Below are 17,556 nucleotides of genomic sequence, written 5' to 3'. Positions count from 1 at the left end.
AAAAAAAAATTATCCCTACTTCTATATATGAATAACTTTTATATTTATCCATCCCCTCATTTGTCACTCTTCTGCCACACCTTAGTACAAAACCTCACTTTTGCCTAAATTATCTCAGGAGACCAACTATTGCAATATCCTTATTGTAAACTTCTTCCTGCTTCAATTCATCCTCCTTAAAGCTGCTAGATCAATATTTCTAAGCAGGTAGTTTACCATTGTTTGCAGCATTAAAATCAAACACTTAGTGTGGTATTTAAGGTCATCTCCAATAAGGTCTTAAAGTACGTTTTCAGCCAAATAAATATCTCTCCCACTATTTTTTTTACATATGTCCTTTGTACTAGCCAGACTATATTACTTTACTGATTGATTGAGTCATTCAAACAGTATATACATAACAAGCTCTTATGCTGCCCAGGTACAGGTTGAGTATTCCTTATCTGAAATGGTTGGGTCTAGAAGCTTTTGGGATTTCAGATTTTTTCAGACTTTGGAATATTTCCATATATATAATGAGATATCTTGGGGAGGGGAGATACCCAGGTCTAAACACTGAATTTATTAGTTTCATCTACACCTTATACACATAAACTGAAGGCAATTATATATGATATTTTAAATAATGTGCAACACGTCACATAAGGTCAGGTATGGAATTTTTCACCTGTGGCATCATGTTGATGCTCAAAAAGTTTCAGATCTTGGAGCTTTTCAAATTCTGGATATTCAACCTGTATATTAACTCTTGCGTGTTATAGGTGCTACTGCTATAAAAGGAACAACTCATGATTCCTGTTATTAGGGAGCTTGGAAGCCACCTTAGCTATTCTCAGAATATATCCAGTGCTTTTCAGCTTTTGATCCTTAGCTTATGTTGTCCTTCCCCTTGGGATGCCTCTTTTCCTAGTTCCTCCACCTACCCACCTTTGTTATTCAAATTCCTACACTGCTTTCCAAAGCCTACTTCAGATGTCATTTTTTCGTAAACCTTTTTTCTGACATCCTCAGTTAATTTTGCTCTCAGAGTACTTTATTTATACCACTCTTACGGTATAAATGGTAGTATGTTCCATGTATTTATCTTTATTTTAGAGACAGGGTCTCTCTATATTGCTCTGGCTGGTCTGGAACTCCTGGGCTCAAGAACTCCTCCTGCCTCAGTTTCCTGAGTAGCTGGGACTACCATGTATTTATTTTATTCTTCCAAGACGATAAATAGAGTACTTTGTCCATTCATCTATATTACTAGCATTTAACATAATGCCTTGTAAATGACAGGCCTACTACTAATTAAAATAATTTAATTAAAGATAACCTTAGTTACTTCTAACTTCGCCGATTGGATTTATTTAGGAAAATATCAATTTTACTTACAAAAAAATTATGTAATTTTAATCCAGTGTTCTTAGTTTAAAATACTACAGAATAAACTTGAGGACTTGCTTTGATAAATAGTGAACTTTGTGATTAGTGTAACAACTTTTCCACTTGTTTTTAGACTCTTAAGTAATCCCCTTTTCTCAGGTCAGAGTGTCCCCTGCAGAACCATGTGAATTGGTTCTATTGAAATATCTTGGCAGCTGCTAGGTACCTCCTCTACCCCAAAAAGCAGCTCTTTATTTTCTGCTATTCTGGGTTTGTTTGTTGTTTTGTTTTTGAGATGGGGTTGCGCTCTGTTGCCCAGGCTCGAGTGTAGTGACATGATCACAGCTCACTGCAGCCTTGACTTCCCGGCTCAAGCGATCCTCCCACCTTAGCCTGCTGAGTAGCTGCGACAACAGGCGCGCACCACCATGCCTGGCTAATTTTATTTTATTTATTTTTTTAATACCTGGCTAATTTTTTAAAATTTTTGTAGAGATGGGGTCTTGCTGTGTTGCCCAGGCTGGTCACAAACTCCTGGCGTCAATGTATCCTCCCACGTTGGTCTCCCAAGAGTTGGGATTACAGGTGTGAGCCTGTAATCTCAGTGTGAGCACATACTGGGCTTCTTCACATATTTTATTTGAAGAAAGGCCTCCTCTGCTGAATCAATTTAAAATTTTGCTGAGTGTAAATTCTTGTTTTTTATATGTATTTTTTTCCAATAGTTTATAGAAACATATTATTTCTGCCCTCTTATTCCTCATATTACCACAAATTTTAAATCAGTAGTCCATATGAATGAGACTTAGATGAATAAGCAAAAGATAGGCCGTGGACTTTGGGCACAACAAATAAATTATTCCCTGAGTATTCTGTCTCTTAATATGGATTTTTTGAGGGGTTGTTATTATATCAGAAATTATTGAAATTGGTGTATAAATTGTTAGGTACTAGATCAGGGCTTCCTAAACTTTAATGTACAGAATATTCTGAGTAAGTCTAGTCTGGGGCCTGAGTTTCTGCATTTCTGTTTCTTTTTCTTTTTTTTGAGACGGAGTCTCACTCTGTCACCCAGGCTGGGGTGCAGTGTCACAGTTCACTGCAACCTCTGCCTCCCGGGTTCAACCAGTTCTTCCACCTCAGCCTCCCGAGCAGCTGGGACTACAGGCATGCGCCACCATGCCCGGCTAATTTTTGTACTTTTAGTAGAGACAGGGTTTCACTATGTTGGCCAGGCTGGTCTCGAACTCCTGATCTTGTGATCCGCCCGCCTCGACCTCCCAAAGTGCTGGGATTACAAGCGTGAGCCACTGCGCCCAGCCTTGTTTCTTTTGTTTTTTTTTAGAGACAGGGTCTTGCTCTGTCACCCAGGCTAGAGTGCAGTGGCACAGTCATAGCTCACTGTAACTTCGAACTCCTGGGCTGAAGTGATCTTCCCACCTGAATGTCCTGAGTTGCTAAGACTACAGGTACGTGCCAACACACCTGGCTAATTTTTAATATTTTTTGTAGAGACCAGGTCTCACTATTACCCAGGCTGGCCTAGAACTCCTGGCCTCAAGTGATTCTCCCATCTCAGCCTCCTGAGTAGCTGGGACTACAGGCACATGCCACCACATCTGGCTAATTATTTTATTTTTTTGTAGAGATGGGGTCTCGTTGTGTTGCCTGGGCTAGTGTTGAACTCCTGGCCTCAAGTGATCCTCCTGCCTTGGCTTCCCAAAAATGTTGGGATCACAGGTGTGAGCCACCATACCTGGCCAAGATTCTGCATTTTTAACAAATAATTTCCATGTTGCTGGTCTGTGGACTATACTTGGAGTAGCAATGAGCTAGATGACTTTCCAAACCCTATCACCATGTTTTAGGATTTTTTTTTTGTACTAGTAAAAGTAGGCTTTTGGTATTGCACAGATACTCGTTTAAAGCGTCTGTTTCTCTACAGTCTAATGTATATTTTGACATTTTAATAGAAATTTTTGGATTTTTAAAGGAAAATCTCTTGTGTTTAGATTGATTGATCGTTCTGTGGTTGTGTGGTTTGTAGCTTCAAGTCATTCTTCAAAGTTTTAAAAATAGCCTTGACAATTATTAGACGTCAGTGACAACTTTCAGAGTTTACATTTAATAAGGAACGTCTAATTGTTTACTTATTTCTAACAGAATTGTAGTTGATACTGCCTTTGGTTATTTTTGCAGGGTATTGTTTGAGGTTAGACATTAACGTAGTATAAAATATAACAGGAAACTTAATCTTCTGTTTGACTCTGGATGTTTTAGTTGGTATAAGTACTGCTTTTTGTTGTTGTTGTTGTTAAAGCTGTTATTATTATGAATTAGTAGCAATTGTATGCCAGAGATTAGCCTGTTAATTTTATCTGTAGCACAGGTGAATTGAAAACCTAATTTGTGTAAATGGATAACCAATAGCACAGATAGCTCTTTAGTTAAATATCCTATACTCAAAAGGATATAAATTGATTCTGGGGGTACATTAATACTTATTTTTTCTTTAAGATACATCACATTAAATATTTTCATAGTCTTGTGCTTTTATTGAAGATTGTAACTAAATCATAAATCTTTAAGAAAATTCCCAGTATTACTTATTTTTGAAAATATTAATTGGTAATCAACATTTGCAGACCAGGATAGTAAAACATTTTGAGGGAAAAGTATTATTTTAAAAACTTGAGAATAATTTTCATTTTAATGATTATATTAGCCCTACATTATTTCATTTAATAATTATCAGTAGTCAAAATTGTCGAGGAAATTATATTATTACAAAAGTGACTTTAAAATGTATTTATTATTTTCTTATTTCTTATTAAATAAGTAAGCACTCGCCTTGCAATTAAAGTTTTCACATAGAATTTATGTGAAATATTGATAAAAAATTTTTTGGACCTGAGATCCAACAATTCTCTATAGAAATAAACCTCCTTTGTTTCTTCTGGTAGCATCCATTGATTTCTTTTTTCTGAAGGTACACTAATAGTGCTGATAGAAGCAGAACAATTGGAATTTACATTGAAAATAAATGTGATGAATAAAAAGCAATACATTGTAATATAGAGTTGATTTTGCTTCACCCATAAGTTCTAAAATCTAAAGGACAAAAATACTGAAAAGGTCGAGAAAAAAATGAAAGTAAGAACAAACGATTCAAAAAGAAAATGACACTGAGGTCTTGGTTTAATACATATGTATTTCAGGTTGATGGTTGATTTCATTAGCAAATCTCATTGTTATGCAATGTCTGTTCTTCTGCAGAAAAATGAATATTGTATTCTCACAGCCTCTGTGTGTATCTATTATGTTGCAATAAATGAAAATATACACATCTGTATCTGTCTTTGGCTTACTCTTTCCATTTTGTTTTTAAGGAAAAGAAAGAAAATTGAATAATATTCTTTTGTTGTTAAATTTGTTCAAAAGCCATTTCAATTTATATTATGGAAATGTTTCCTACTTTTGTTCTTTGAAGTAAACAATTATAAGATGGTTAATAATGTAACCATGATAATTATCCTATAACTTTTTTAATGAACAGAATGAATCTTGATTGATTTAAGTTGATAATATGAGATACTTCAGTGTATGTTTTCTAACATATTTTTAAATATTAGGAGTGGTTTTCCTTATTGCAGGAAATTATGGTAAGGGAGTGTATATATTATGCCAAATCTAAAGACTACTACCTTTTACAATAGCAGAATTATATATTGAGATTACTAAGGTTTGAATTTTTATAAAATAGGAAGTTCAGAAATAAATTTTAATGGCTACACATTGGAAGAATTCTTTGAATGGTAATAAAGTAATAAGCTTCATAAATTTTATGTTATGAGTTCAAATACGAATCAAACTGTATTGGATGAAAATTGTCATTTAATCTTCGTCATTTTGAGGTTTGACACTAGCTTACAAAATAGATTTGGTTTTTGGTAGTGTTCTCAAAAGTTGTCTCACAATTGAAATTATTTTGACAAGCTTGAAAACAGAAAAGCCCAAGGTTTGATTAAATATGGGTTGATTGTATACCATGCAGAAATCACCTGTATGGTAAAAATTTGCCTTCTGGTTCAATTGATGCAATCATAATAAATATCCTAGTTATGTTGAACAAACATGAGCTGTTATAAATATATACAGCAGTTTATTAATGCATTATAGTAAGTTTATTTGTATTTAGAGTATTTGCTACATGTTGAGCATTTTGTTATTCATGGTGGGTAATATAAAAGAAGGAATTTCAAGATCTAATAAGGAGAATCCCCAAATAATTATATAGTAATATATAGCTAAATTATGTAGAGAAAGCTTTTATGGGCCCTTCAAGTAGAGTCTGAGAGAGAGCCATCCTGAAAGTGATGAGACCTAAACTGATAATGAGGTAGGAGAAGAGATATGAAACAACATAAGCATAATCTGGGAGGCAGGAGGACATAAATTTAGGATCTTTGGGAGGCAGAGAGCAGACCAACCCAGTAGTAAGGAAGATATGATTTGCTACAACCTATTTACCTGACATGAAAACCAGAATGCATCATTGTTACATTTTATTAGTGTTCAGGCTGGATATTATACCATGGTAGCATGTCGTTTGACATCACTGGTAGATCTTGTTTTTTCTTGTATAATAAAATAAGAGATAGGACATTTCCTTTGTATCAGTTTTGCTGTCTTTCCTCTGCACCAGTAACAAAAAGTAAATGTTCTAAAAGTATGCAAATATGAATCTAAATTGATGCAAACTGAATGTGAAGACAGAGTCACATTTATCTACTACGGTTAGAAATACCAAACTGGGGAGGATTAAACATCATCATAGATTGGACTCCCAGCTGTTGTAATGGGCAGGATCATAGAAGGAAGATCACCAACGAAAAGAGGAACTCATTTCAGTTAAAAAGAAAGGTCCCTTGGCCAGTCTCAGCTACTGGGGAGGCTGAGGCAGGAGAATGGCGTGAACCCGGGAGGCGGAGCTTGCAGTGAGCCGAGATCGCACCGCCGCACTGCAGCCTGGGCGACAGAGCAAGACTCTGTCTCAAAAAAAAAAAAAAAAAAAAGAAGAAAGGTCCCTTATAATTGTCTGGACCTACCTACCAATGTTTTATCTTTTGCCTGATCTGGAACCCTGGTTATCTCATTTTATGTGATCTTATGCTCTCATCTAGCATAAGAACCTGACTTTAGAAAATAGAATATGAGGCCGGGCGCGGTGGCTCACGCCTGTAATCCCAGCACTTTGGGAGGCCGAGGCGGGTGGATCATGAGGTCAGGAGATCGAGACCATCCTGGCTAACAAGGTGAAACCCCGTCTCTACTAAAAAATACAAAAAATTAGCCGGGCGCGGTGGCGGGCGCCTGTAGTCCCAGCTACTCGGGAGGCTGAGGCAGGAGAATGGCGTGAACCCGGGAAGCGGAGCTTGCAGTGAGCCGAGATTGCGCCACTGCAGTCCGCAGTCCGGCCTGGGCGACAGAGCGAGACTCCGTCTCAAAAAAAAAAAAAAAAAAAAAAAAAAAAAAGAAAATAGAATATGAAGTTGGAATTTGAAAATGGAATTTAACATAAGATTCTGGAAATTGTTAGTGTATGTTTAAAGATCCAGATAAGAATTGCACACTTCCTAGCAAGATGGCTTATTTTGGGGAATCTTTCCTTATGTTATCACTCTGGCTTGCACTGAGGAAATGTTAAAAGAAACTTTTATGTGAAATTTGTTATTTTAATTGCTGTAAAGATTCTATTGAGAAAACTGTTGTATGCTCCAGTGTTGCATTTTTGAAAATTATTTTTAAAACTTCTCTCAATTCTAAGTCCTAGAGAATGCTTTGGAGCTTGTTTGTAAATTACATCTTACAGAGAATGAGAATTTTGTAATTTGATCTTGTTTCCCACTTTGATTGCTAAGGAGCTGAACCACCCACATCATAGACTTGTGCAAGACCTTACGATAGGTGTTTCTTTGTTCCAGCTTTACCTTGTGTTTTCATCTTTCTCATGTCCTCTTATTTTCCCTTTTATTCATATTAGTTTTAAAGACGGCATTCTGTTCTTCTACTCATAGTTTTGTAAGTCATCTTAAATTATGTTGGAATAAGATGGGATATAAATAATTATGTAACACCTATTTATTGTAGCAGAAGGCAAGCAAGCAAAAAGTAGGAAACTTTCTTCCTCCTCTTGTCTCTCCCTCTGCCTTCCCACCTCATTTTGCACATAGTTCTTAATATGGACGACTGAGCTCTGTGGTTTCTTGGACTTTCCAGAGTACAGGGGAATTCACTCTGAAGCTTTTTGTCTGTATAGCACTACCAGGTCCAGTTAAAGAATGCCTCAGAGGATAAGTAGGGCTGAAATATACCCAAGAGAAGGAAAAGATATATTTTTCTCATTTGTCAGCTCTGAGGGCAAGTCTTTTTCCAACTGGTTTTTGTTCCTTACCTTTTAACTGAATTGTAAACTCATAATATCAAAAGTTACTGCCTCTTGATAAAAACCACCTTCAGTGAAACCAAATATCAAATTTATTTGCTGTACCTCTTTATGTTTTCATTTCATCGTGCTCTAAATTTGACACATTATAGGAAACTAAGATGGTCATAAATCATTGAAACAATTGAAATAATAATTTTCTGATTTAAAATTTTGTTTTGTTTTGGTGTATGAATTACATACTCAAAGCTACTTATGTGGTAGGAATTACATCTCAAATTTTCTATAAAGGAAATAAGAACTGTGTTTTGCATTCCATGTGACTACTATGGTTTTTAAATTATTTAATGTTAACGTGACCAAGAAATTCAGCTGGAAATGTTAACTTCGTAGTTGTAGTTTTTTGAAAACTTGCTATTTCATGTGTCATTGTAGTAAAGGTGGTGATTAGTGATGTTAGCAACTTGCATTAATGTGGCTCAATACCGAATACATACTCCTTGAAATGACATATTACGTATATGTAATGAGACCTGTTCTGAGATTCTATACCCTTGGCACAGTCTTCTCTCCTGGGTGTTCTTTTTGTTATTTGTTATCATTCTGTTTTGTTCTATTTCAGTGCATTATAACTTTATTTTGCAAAATGAATAAATACAAACCTAATTTAAGTAGTATAATTTTAATATCTTAACATGATTATATTGTTGTAACGGGCTCTTAAGAGCTTTTTGCATTAAAATTAAATCTTACTTGTTCTAAATAGTTAGGATATTGATGCATGGCCTTAGTAAATATAGAATTTTAAAGATAAATGCAAATTTTATGAATTTACAGAATTATCTAGATTTTTTTAAGTAGTAAATTAGTTTATCATTTTGATGGAGTTGGGTTTTTTGTTTGTTTGATACCCATGGCTAATTTAAATCTTCCCTCATCAAACTACACTAAAAATTTCAGAGAGTGAAAAAACAGCAATTTGGGGGGAAAAAAAAAACTATGGACAAAGAAACTTAGTTTTCAAGCTAACAATGTTTTTAAAAAATGCTCACAGGTTAAATATTTTGTTTTGTTTTCTTTTTGATATATGAGTTTAAAATGATGTAGAGAAAAGTTTCAAATTATGTAAACTTTCTGATCATAGGAATTTTTTTTTCAAAGACTGCCACATAAATTATAAAGCAGTCTTATTTTGCAGGAAGTTGTCCAAATAAAAAAATAGACATGCTTTGACCACAAAACAATTAATTTTGGTCTTTTATTATAACTCAGAAATTTATTTTGTGTACTTTGTTGTAGCAGCTGAAATTTAAAGACTTTTCTTTATTTTTGGCAGGTTTTTGAGCAGTTATTCTTATTTGTTAGCATTGCTTTGTTTTTATAGTTTATCTGCCAGAAGTGATTTTTGAAACCTGCTTTTAAACAGTGCCAGTTTTCAAGCATTCCTATCATGTGAGTTTATGTGAGGAGTAAACCCTTCTTTAAAAAGGAAGAAAGACCTCTTCTCTTTATTGTCTGTTTGACATTAATAAAATTAAGAAAAGAACGATTACTTGAGACATCAACCTTACCTGGCTTAGTTTTATCACGTGAGCATTCACGTTTGCTGGTGATCTAAGTGCTCCACCTGCCTTTCAGTTTGTTTACCAGGAAATCAAGATGTGTAAACTGCAGGAAGTACTATTTGACCCTCTCCGACAGTATCTCATTACAATAATTGCTAATCTCTGAATAAGACAGCCATGTTTTGTGAGTAACTGAGAGAGAGAGAGGTTGTGTTAGGTAGATTTTAGGTGTTTCAACAAATAGAGCATTGTAAATGCTTACTTGGATTATGTTTTCATGATAGCTTTTGATAAAAGACATATGCTGACCCTTGGGGTCAGCAAAGCTAGGACACAATAGTAGGTATTCTTTCATGCCTTTTAACTGAAAAATATCACGGCTTGTTGTTTTGGAGTGCTGTCACTGCTCTGAATCGAAAGGATAATGGCTACTTCCTGATTAAACCCACTCTCCACAGTAAGCTGTTAATGTTATACTCTATGTCTTTTTCTCCTGTAAATGCAAGGGTATTTGGTGTTTTCTTTACTTTTTAACATTGTTTTTTCATAGATAGATCTCTTATAAATATATCCTGAAGTTAAAGTTTACAATTAGAGTAGAAACTACTGTTTAAGTTTGGAGGATTTTTTAAAATGAAAAAGTATTTCTGTTTGGTATCTTAAATCCAACCAGCTCATACACATACTGTAGGTTTTGGTTAAAGAAATTAGCTTTATTAAATAAAGACATTGAAATGATAAATGATATTAAGCTGCCACTTTCTTGCCACTCTAAACAAAATTTTAAAAATAACTTATGTAGTAAAAAGATTATTTTTTTCAGAGACTTTGGATAAACTCTAATTTTATCTTGATTTAGTAAGTTTCATAATTCTATTTACATATTCTCAAAATATCTCAATTTTAATTATGAAATTAACTTATTCTTAAATTAGCAAAGAGATCCTTATGATATAAAAACAATGTTAAGTATTCAGAATATAAGAAGGGAATAATGAGCTTCTTAGTTTTAATCCTAAATCTGGCCGTCACTCCATCTGTGGTCTTGGGACAATCATTTAAACTGCTTACCTCAGTTGTCTTGTCTACTGTCTGTGTGAGTGCTTAAGTAAAATGTGTATGTTTGTTTATTTCTGTATAGTGTTACAAACTACAAAGGAAATGAATTTCACAAGTATTTTATAAAATGGAGAACTGACTCTGCACATAGGAAAACATTTGCAGTAACAATAGACAGATAAATAAAATTTATGGCTTTAAAAGAAACACCATTACATTGGCTTTTTAATTTGGAACAGAACTCTTAGTTTTGCTCAATCTTTAATATAATATTACCAAAGGAATATAAATAGGAATATACATGTTGTTGGATACACGACTGAAATGGGAAGTAGAAAGCTTAAAGGTGATTTAGTAAAGAGTGACAAATATACTTAAAATTATTTAACTTTTTCTCAAAAGTCTTATTTCTGGAAGTAAAATTGTTCAGAGTAGAGGGAAGAATGTATGTATATATGTATTATGGACATATAAGTGCAGGTGATCTATGTAGTAAGATGTTTAATTTTTAAACTGTAGTATTAGGTATGTTGATTATATAAAAAGAAAACATAAGATTATGAAAAATCAAAAGTAGTTACTGAAGAATGTTATAGAACCTAACATCTAGGAATGTTAAAAAATGGGATAATGTAAATAGACTCCTTCTTTTGTTGAAAGAATTAAGGTAGTTTCTTTCACATAATGCTTATCAGGGTTATTTTAGGTAACTCAGTAATTTTTGATATAAATTACTGGCATATTCTGAGGAGATTCTAAAGGTTAAGTTTGTGAGTATTCTAGCTTAGTCAAGTTATCAAAGTAAAAGTTATAATAGTGCCTCTATTTTAATTTATAATAAGTAATTTATGTCATTTATTGAATACTTACTATATGCAAACCTCTGGGCTAATTCTTTTGTCATTTACTATTCATGATAATCACATGAGGTGGAGGTACCATTATTACTTCCATTTTTATCAATGAGAAAGTAATTGTAGAGAATTTAAATAATTTGATTAAGGTCCTTAGCCAGTAAATACCAGAGCCAGACTGAAAACACTAACACAATTCAGAATCCAGAACAGTCTCCAGTGTCATACCCTTAACCATTGTGTTTATATTTTGGAGATAGTAAAGGTGCTTACACACTTGATTTGGATGGTTTTATTTTTTTCATTAATTTATCAAATATTATGGAATGCCTAAGTATCAGGCACTTTAAGGAATTACAGGCAATAGCATTATAAAGCAGTACAAAATCCCTTGTCTCAAGGAGCCTGCAGTCTAGTGGAAGAGGCAGAAAATTAATAGGCTGTTAACAGTACAATGTGATAACTGATAAAATATAGGTCAGTACAGAATGCTAAAGGTGACGCAAAGGAGAGATATCCAATGTATTGTTTTATTTCCGTATTTAATTTGCATATTTGTGTGGTGTTCTAGGTACATGGGAAATATCAGCAAATGAAACTTTCAAAGGTCTCTGCTTTTGTGGCACATGTAGTAGGAGTGGAGATTAATAATAATAAATAAACTGCATAGCATTTTAGAAGATGACAAATGTTATGAAGTAAAGAAAAAGGAGCAGGATGTGAAGGTTAGGTGATGATGGGATTCAGGGGCTGAGGAAGGATTCACAAAAAAGATGATGTTGAGGAAAGATTAAGGAAGTTAGCTATGTGGATACCTTTGGAAAGTCTTCCAGGCAGAGGGCATGAGGCAGGAGCATGACTGGTTTGCTCAGGGAAATGAATGGTTGTCATTGTGAGTACGGGTATGGAGAGAGAGAGTAAGAGGAGGTATTGTCAAAGGAAATGAGTGAGTGGGTTATTCATGTAGGGCCTCAGTGGGGACTTTGAGGAGCCACTCCAGGGCTTTCAGTATTTTTAAAAAGGATCACTCCAGCTGCTATGTTTAGAATAGACTATATGTAAGGAGTCATGGACCACCAGTTAGAAGGTTCTTAGAGTAATCTAAATGAGAGAAGGTAGTGGCCTAGTAGCAGTTAAATTCTGGATGTTTTTGAGGTACAACCAAAAAGATTTCTGGATGGGCTGGATGTGAGATACAAGGAAAGAGGAGAAAAGATGATTTTAAGGGTTTTGGCAGCTGGAAGGATGGTGTTGCCATCACCTGTGACATAGGGAAGAATTTCAGGTGGAGAAGGTGTGGGATGAGGATGAAGAATCAGGACTTTGACTTTGGATGTGGTAGACCAAAATGTTCATTAGATATGCAAGTGGAGATGTGAGAAGGCTTTACAGAGTGGGTACAACCCAAATTGAGACTGAAGAATGAATTGGACTTACTTAGTCAAACAGGTAGTTTATAGTGAAATTTGAGAGCATTTGCTACATACTTGAATGAATCTTGGCATTATCTACTTTACATATTTACTAATGAAAGTAACAGCTAAACATCTAATAAGTAAAAACATTTAAAAAGTAACAAAAATATTTCAAAGAACAAAATTATTCTGGGTAGTCAAGTTTTAAGAGTATTTCATTGACTGCTGTTTTCATGAATTGTACTATCTGCTTTTACATATGTTGATTCTCACTTTAGTACTGTCATGTAAATAGTATTTCTGCTTTACATTTGGAGAAACTGAGTATGAGGGAGATTAATATTCCCTAAGGTCATTGATAGATTAGGTGATAGGCCTGGATTCAAATCCAGGTCTTTAGATTCCATTGATCATGCTCCTTATTTTAAAAATGTATGATGTTAAAATTAAAAATTTTTTAGACTTCTGTTTGAGGTCACAAGGAGTTGTCTTTTTTAAATGTTAGTTATCATTCTGTAGTGTAACACAGTCATACCCTTGGGACATAAGGCTTTTAGATTCTTGATCAAGGAGTCAAACCATTTGTTGTTGTTCTTTGAATAACTACAGAGCTTTCAGTATAGTTACCTATTAGAGACACTCCCTCTACTCCTGGTTCCCATCCCTGTGTATAGTGCTTAATAAGTGCTTAGAAAATTACAGCTGCTATTATCATCATCTTTTTGTTTGTACTATACTGTGACCTTGGGAATGAACCCAAGCTTGTTGGAATCATGTGTAAATTATAAAACTTCAAAGATTAAGGGCACAAAGACATTCTAAATAATGAAGAATGAGTTTTAATCCACACATTTTATCAGCTTAGAGACCGTCTTTATTTCTTTTCCTTTTTTGGCTGTTTTTTAGGCAAGTGAATTTGCTAAATAGCTATGTTTCTTACTGGAAAACCAGTAATCTCTAAGATGCCGCTGGGTATTTTCATTGTAAAAGTGAACGTAAGTGGTTCAACTTCAGTAGGGAATAAAAATATGGTTTTTCTTTGAAACATACTTACTTTTGAGGTGACAATGCCATATTTTAAAAACTTAAACCTTTTGCCTTCTGGATCGAAATAGAAGTTATTTCATGTGAATTAATACTGTTTACATTTATGATGTTTTTAAAGATACTTAAGAGCAAGTCATTCAGACAAACTGCAAGAAAGAAATATTTTTACAAAGCCATGTCAAACATACAGAAATACCAGTTTTTTTAAAAACCTGGTGTAGATTAAAATAGGATATGAGTCTGAATGATCATTTTAAGTATATACTGAGGGAATAGGTAGAAACTTTACATTGTCTATATATTTCTGTTCTATAAATACATGACTTTACACCAAGTCTGCTGTTTTGATACATTTCTCAAAATTTTATGCTATTTTTTCAAAGGAACAAAAAAGATGTATTCATTCTTCCTATACCTTTCTCTGAAGTTTTCCTTTTATTTTATTATCATGACTTAAAGACTTCTTTAGGTATAACTTATTTTATGGTCACTGTAATCATTAAACAGATTATTTAAGTAAACAAAAATGTTGTTTGACCCCTACAACATTCTTTATTTTAACTAAGTTATCTATGTAATTTCATATTTTAATTAATTCCACTTATGATTAAAATTATATTTCCTGAGCATTTCTACTTAGTCATAAAAATAGTAGTGTATGTGTTAAATGTTTGTGTATCACTTAGTTTTAAAATTTGTTTTATTTGGACAATGTCTTTGATTCAGTTGGGGAAAAAGAAATGACTGGTTGATCAGAAAAAAATTTCTGTTCAAAGTATTTTATTATTGCCTATTTTTAAATAATTATACTGAACTAAATCTGTTACATCCTTTATAAATTGCAATGTCCAGAGAGGCTGGGCGCGACACCTCACGCCTGTAGTGCCAGCACTTTGGGTGGCCAAGGCAGGTGGATCACCTAAGTTCAGGAGTTTGAGACCAGCCTTGCCAACATGATGAAACCCCATCTCTACTAAAAATACAAAAAAATTAGCCGGGTGTGGTGTTGGGTGCCTGTAATCCCAGCTACTTGGGAGGCTGAGTCAGGAGAATCACTTGAACCCAGGAGGCAGAGGTTGCAGTGAGCTGAGATCACGCCATTGCACTCCAGCCTGGGTGACAAGAGCAAAACTCCATCTCAAAAAAGAAAGAAAGAAAGAAATGTCCAGAGAATGAGTATTCTGATTAATTTTTTCTGGAATAGTTTGTCTTAACATTATTAAAATTTGATGTATTTGTGCAAGTATAAAATTGAATATTTTTTGATGATTTGAAGACATAGAGGGCTACTGGGTCCTGATTTGACAATCTGCGCTATTACTAATCTAGTTTGGTAAATAAAGTATAAACAAATATTAAATGAGTCTTGATTTGATAATTTGAGCAACCAGTCTAGTTTTATAAGCAAAGTGTAATCAAATATTAAATGTGTTACAGTAATTAAAAAAACCAGAGATGTCAAAAGGAGCATAAGATTAATTGCTTAATGAGTGATATGTAAGTAAAATATTATGAGTTGACAGTAAGAGAGCGGTCATTGGAATGACCAGGAAAGCTCCTTTAAGGAAAAGGAACTAGAACAGTATCTTCAAGCACTGAAGAAGGACTTCAAACATTAATTTTTACAAATAGCTTTTTTGAGATATAATTCACATACCATACAGTTCACCCATTTAAAGTATATAGTTTAATGGATTTTGGTATATTACATTTTTTTTACATTGCAGTAAAATATCTATAACATAAAATTTGTCATTTTAACCATTTTTATCTACACAATCCAGTGGTCTTAATTACATTCACAGCGCTGTACAACCATCATTAGTGTATTTCCAAAATTTTTTCATCATCCCAAACAGAAACTCTGTAACCATTAAGTAATAATAACTCCTGGTCAGATGCAGTGGCTCATGCCTGAATCCCAGCACTTTGGAAGGCTGAGACGGGGTCTCAAGGATCACTTGAGACCAGGAGTTCAAGGCCAGCCTGGGCAATGTAGTGAGACCTTTGCTCTACAAAAATAAAATAAAATAGCTGGGCATGGTGGCACACGCCTGTGGTCCCAGCTACTCAGGCCTCGAACACAGGAGGTTGAGGCTGCAGTAAACTGTGATCGCACCACTGCACTCCAGCCTGGGTGACAGAGTGAGACCCTGTCTCAAAAAAAATTTAAAAATAAAAAAAAGCAGTAACTTCCCATTTCCCTCACCATCCCCCATCTCCTAGTAACCTCTAATCTACTTTCCATCTCTGCAAATTTTCCTCTTCTACATATTTTTCATAAGTGGAATCATACAATATTTGTCCTTTTTTGGGTTGGGCTTATCTCACTTTAGAGTTTTCAGGGTTCATCTATGTTATAGCATGTAGCACAACTTCATTTCCTTTTATAGTTCCATTTTATAGATATATGTATATGTGTACATATATACATACAAATGTACATTTATACATACACACTAGTATGTATAAATGTACATATATACACAGTTGCTCATATATACATGTACATATATACATATATTTGTGTATACATATCCATATATTTGTACATATATACAAATGTACATATATACATATGTTTGTACATATATGCAAATACATATTAAATATGTATATATGTATATCACATTTGTTTATTCATTCATCTTTTGAGGGATATAGGTGTACAAGTATGTTTTCAAGTCCCTGTTTTCAATTCATGTAGTAATTTTACATTAACTTTTTGGAGGAACCACAAAACTGTTTCCAGATAGCTGAATCAAGCATTGATTTTATTCTGTTACACTGTATAGTGAATGTAAAAGATTAGGCTGAATGAATACTGGCTTCAGCACATACAGGGTATTTTTCTTAAAAGAGAGGAAAAAAGCCATATGTGTTATGTGTGAAAACATATGTATGTGTAAATAGCCACCTCTTAAAGTGAACTTTTAAAAAATAATTAAGCCTTCTGGTTGTATGTAACCCCAGTTTTGTAATATTTTCTAGAAGTGGTCGTTGAGTTTGAATTTCTTAGTCCCTAGGAACAATGTTATAAAAGGATGTTTCCACAAGTAATTAGAATTAAAAGTGTATTTCTGCCCATTTTTAAGATATCTATTAGTTGCCTTTTTTGCATTATAATATAAAATCACTGAATTATATCTGACTGGAAAGTGTTTCCAATATATTCTTTTTAGTCAATTTATTTTCTTTGATATATGTTAATATTTTATATTTTATAAGTGAGAGAGAGGACTATAATGATTTCATTCAGCATTTTTGAGATCACTCTTACAAGTATAAATTCTGGAATTCAATATGGATTAGGAGAACAATGTTTACCTATCTTTTCATAGATCAGTGAGGGACCACTAAGCCAAAAGGCAGGGATTATTTCACTGGCTTGATAAGGTTATAAGAGTGAGGAAATGGGGAGCAATATTAAAACAGGGAAACTTTGACCTAATTACAAGTTTCCCTAAGAGGGATATATAATATCACAAACCCACAAACAGTAATGAATTACCACTTGTGGATTCAATAAGGAAATAAATGGTAATAACAGATATAATGGGTCATCCTGATGACAATATTATTTAGGACATCGGAGAGTAATTTCTGGAAATAAAAGGAAAACTAATTGGAAGTTTTCTTTAAATTTCTGGTCAGGGGGTATACATGAGAGTATGTAATGCATAGGGAGATTGAAATAGCCAGCAATTTTGAAGAAACTGACATGGATAGCTCATGGAATTTTTTTTTTTATTTTTGGCAAACCTCTGAGGCAATTTGCCTTAATATGAATTTGAATCTTAAGT

The 17,556-nt window shown here is 33.9% G+C and overlaps 1 protein-coding gene across 24 annotated transcripts in view; it reads left to right on the top strand.

Annotated features, from left to right (window-relative positions):
- BAZ2B (bromodomain adjacent to zinc finger domain 2B) overlaps positions 1 to 17,556 on the top strand; it is a 397,131-nt gene that overhangs the window by 186,329 nt on the left and 193,246 nt on the right. For 2 of the 24 annotated variants that reach the window (XM_005246492.5, XM_047444059.1), the window contains exon 1: positions 9,556 to 9,835. The exons of 21 other annotated variants lie outside the window; for them this stretch is intronic. The gene's annotated coding sequence lies outside the window, so the exon portion shown is untranslated. Of the gene's footprint in view, positions 1 to 9,555; positions 9,836 to 17,556 lie in introns of those variants that run through there. One more of the 24 variants, XM_005246489.5, reaches the window with a different exon arrangement.

This window comes from Homo sapiens, chromosome 2, assembly GCF_000001405.40.
Source record: "Homo sapiens chromosome 2, GRCh38.p14 Primary Assembly".
Taxonomy (NCBI): domain Eukaryota; kingdom Metazoa; phylum Chordata; class Mammalia; order Primates; family Hominidae; genus Homo; species Homo sapiens.
The sequence above is the reverse complement of the archived record's forward strand: the minus strand, read 5'-3'. Positions and strand labels throughout refer to the sequence as shown.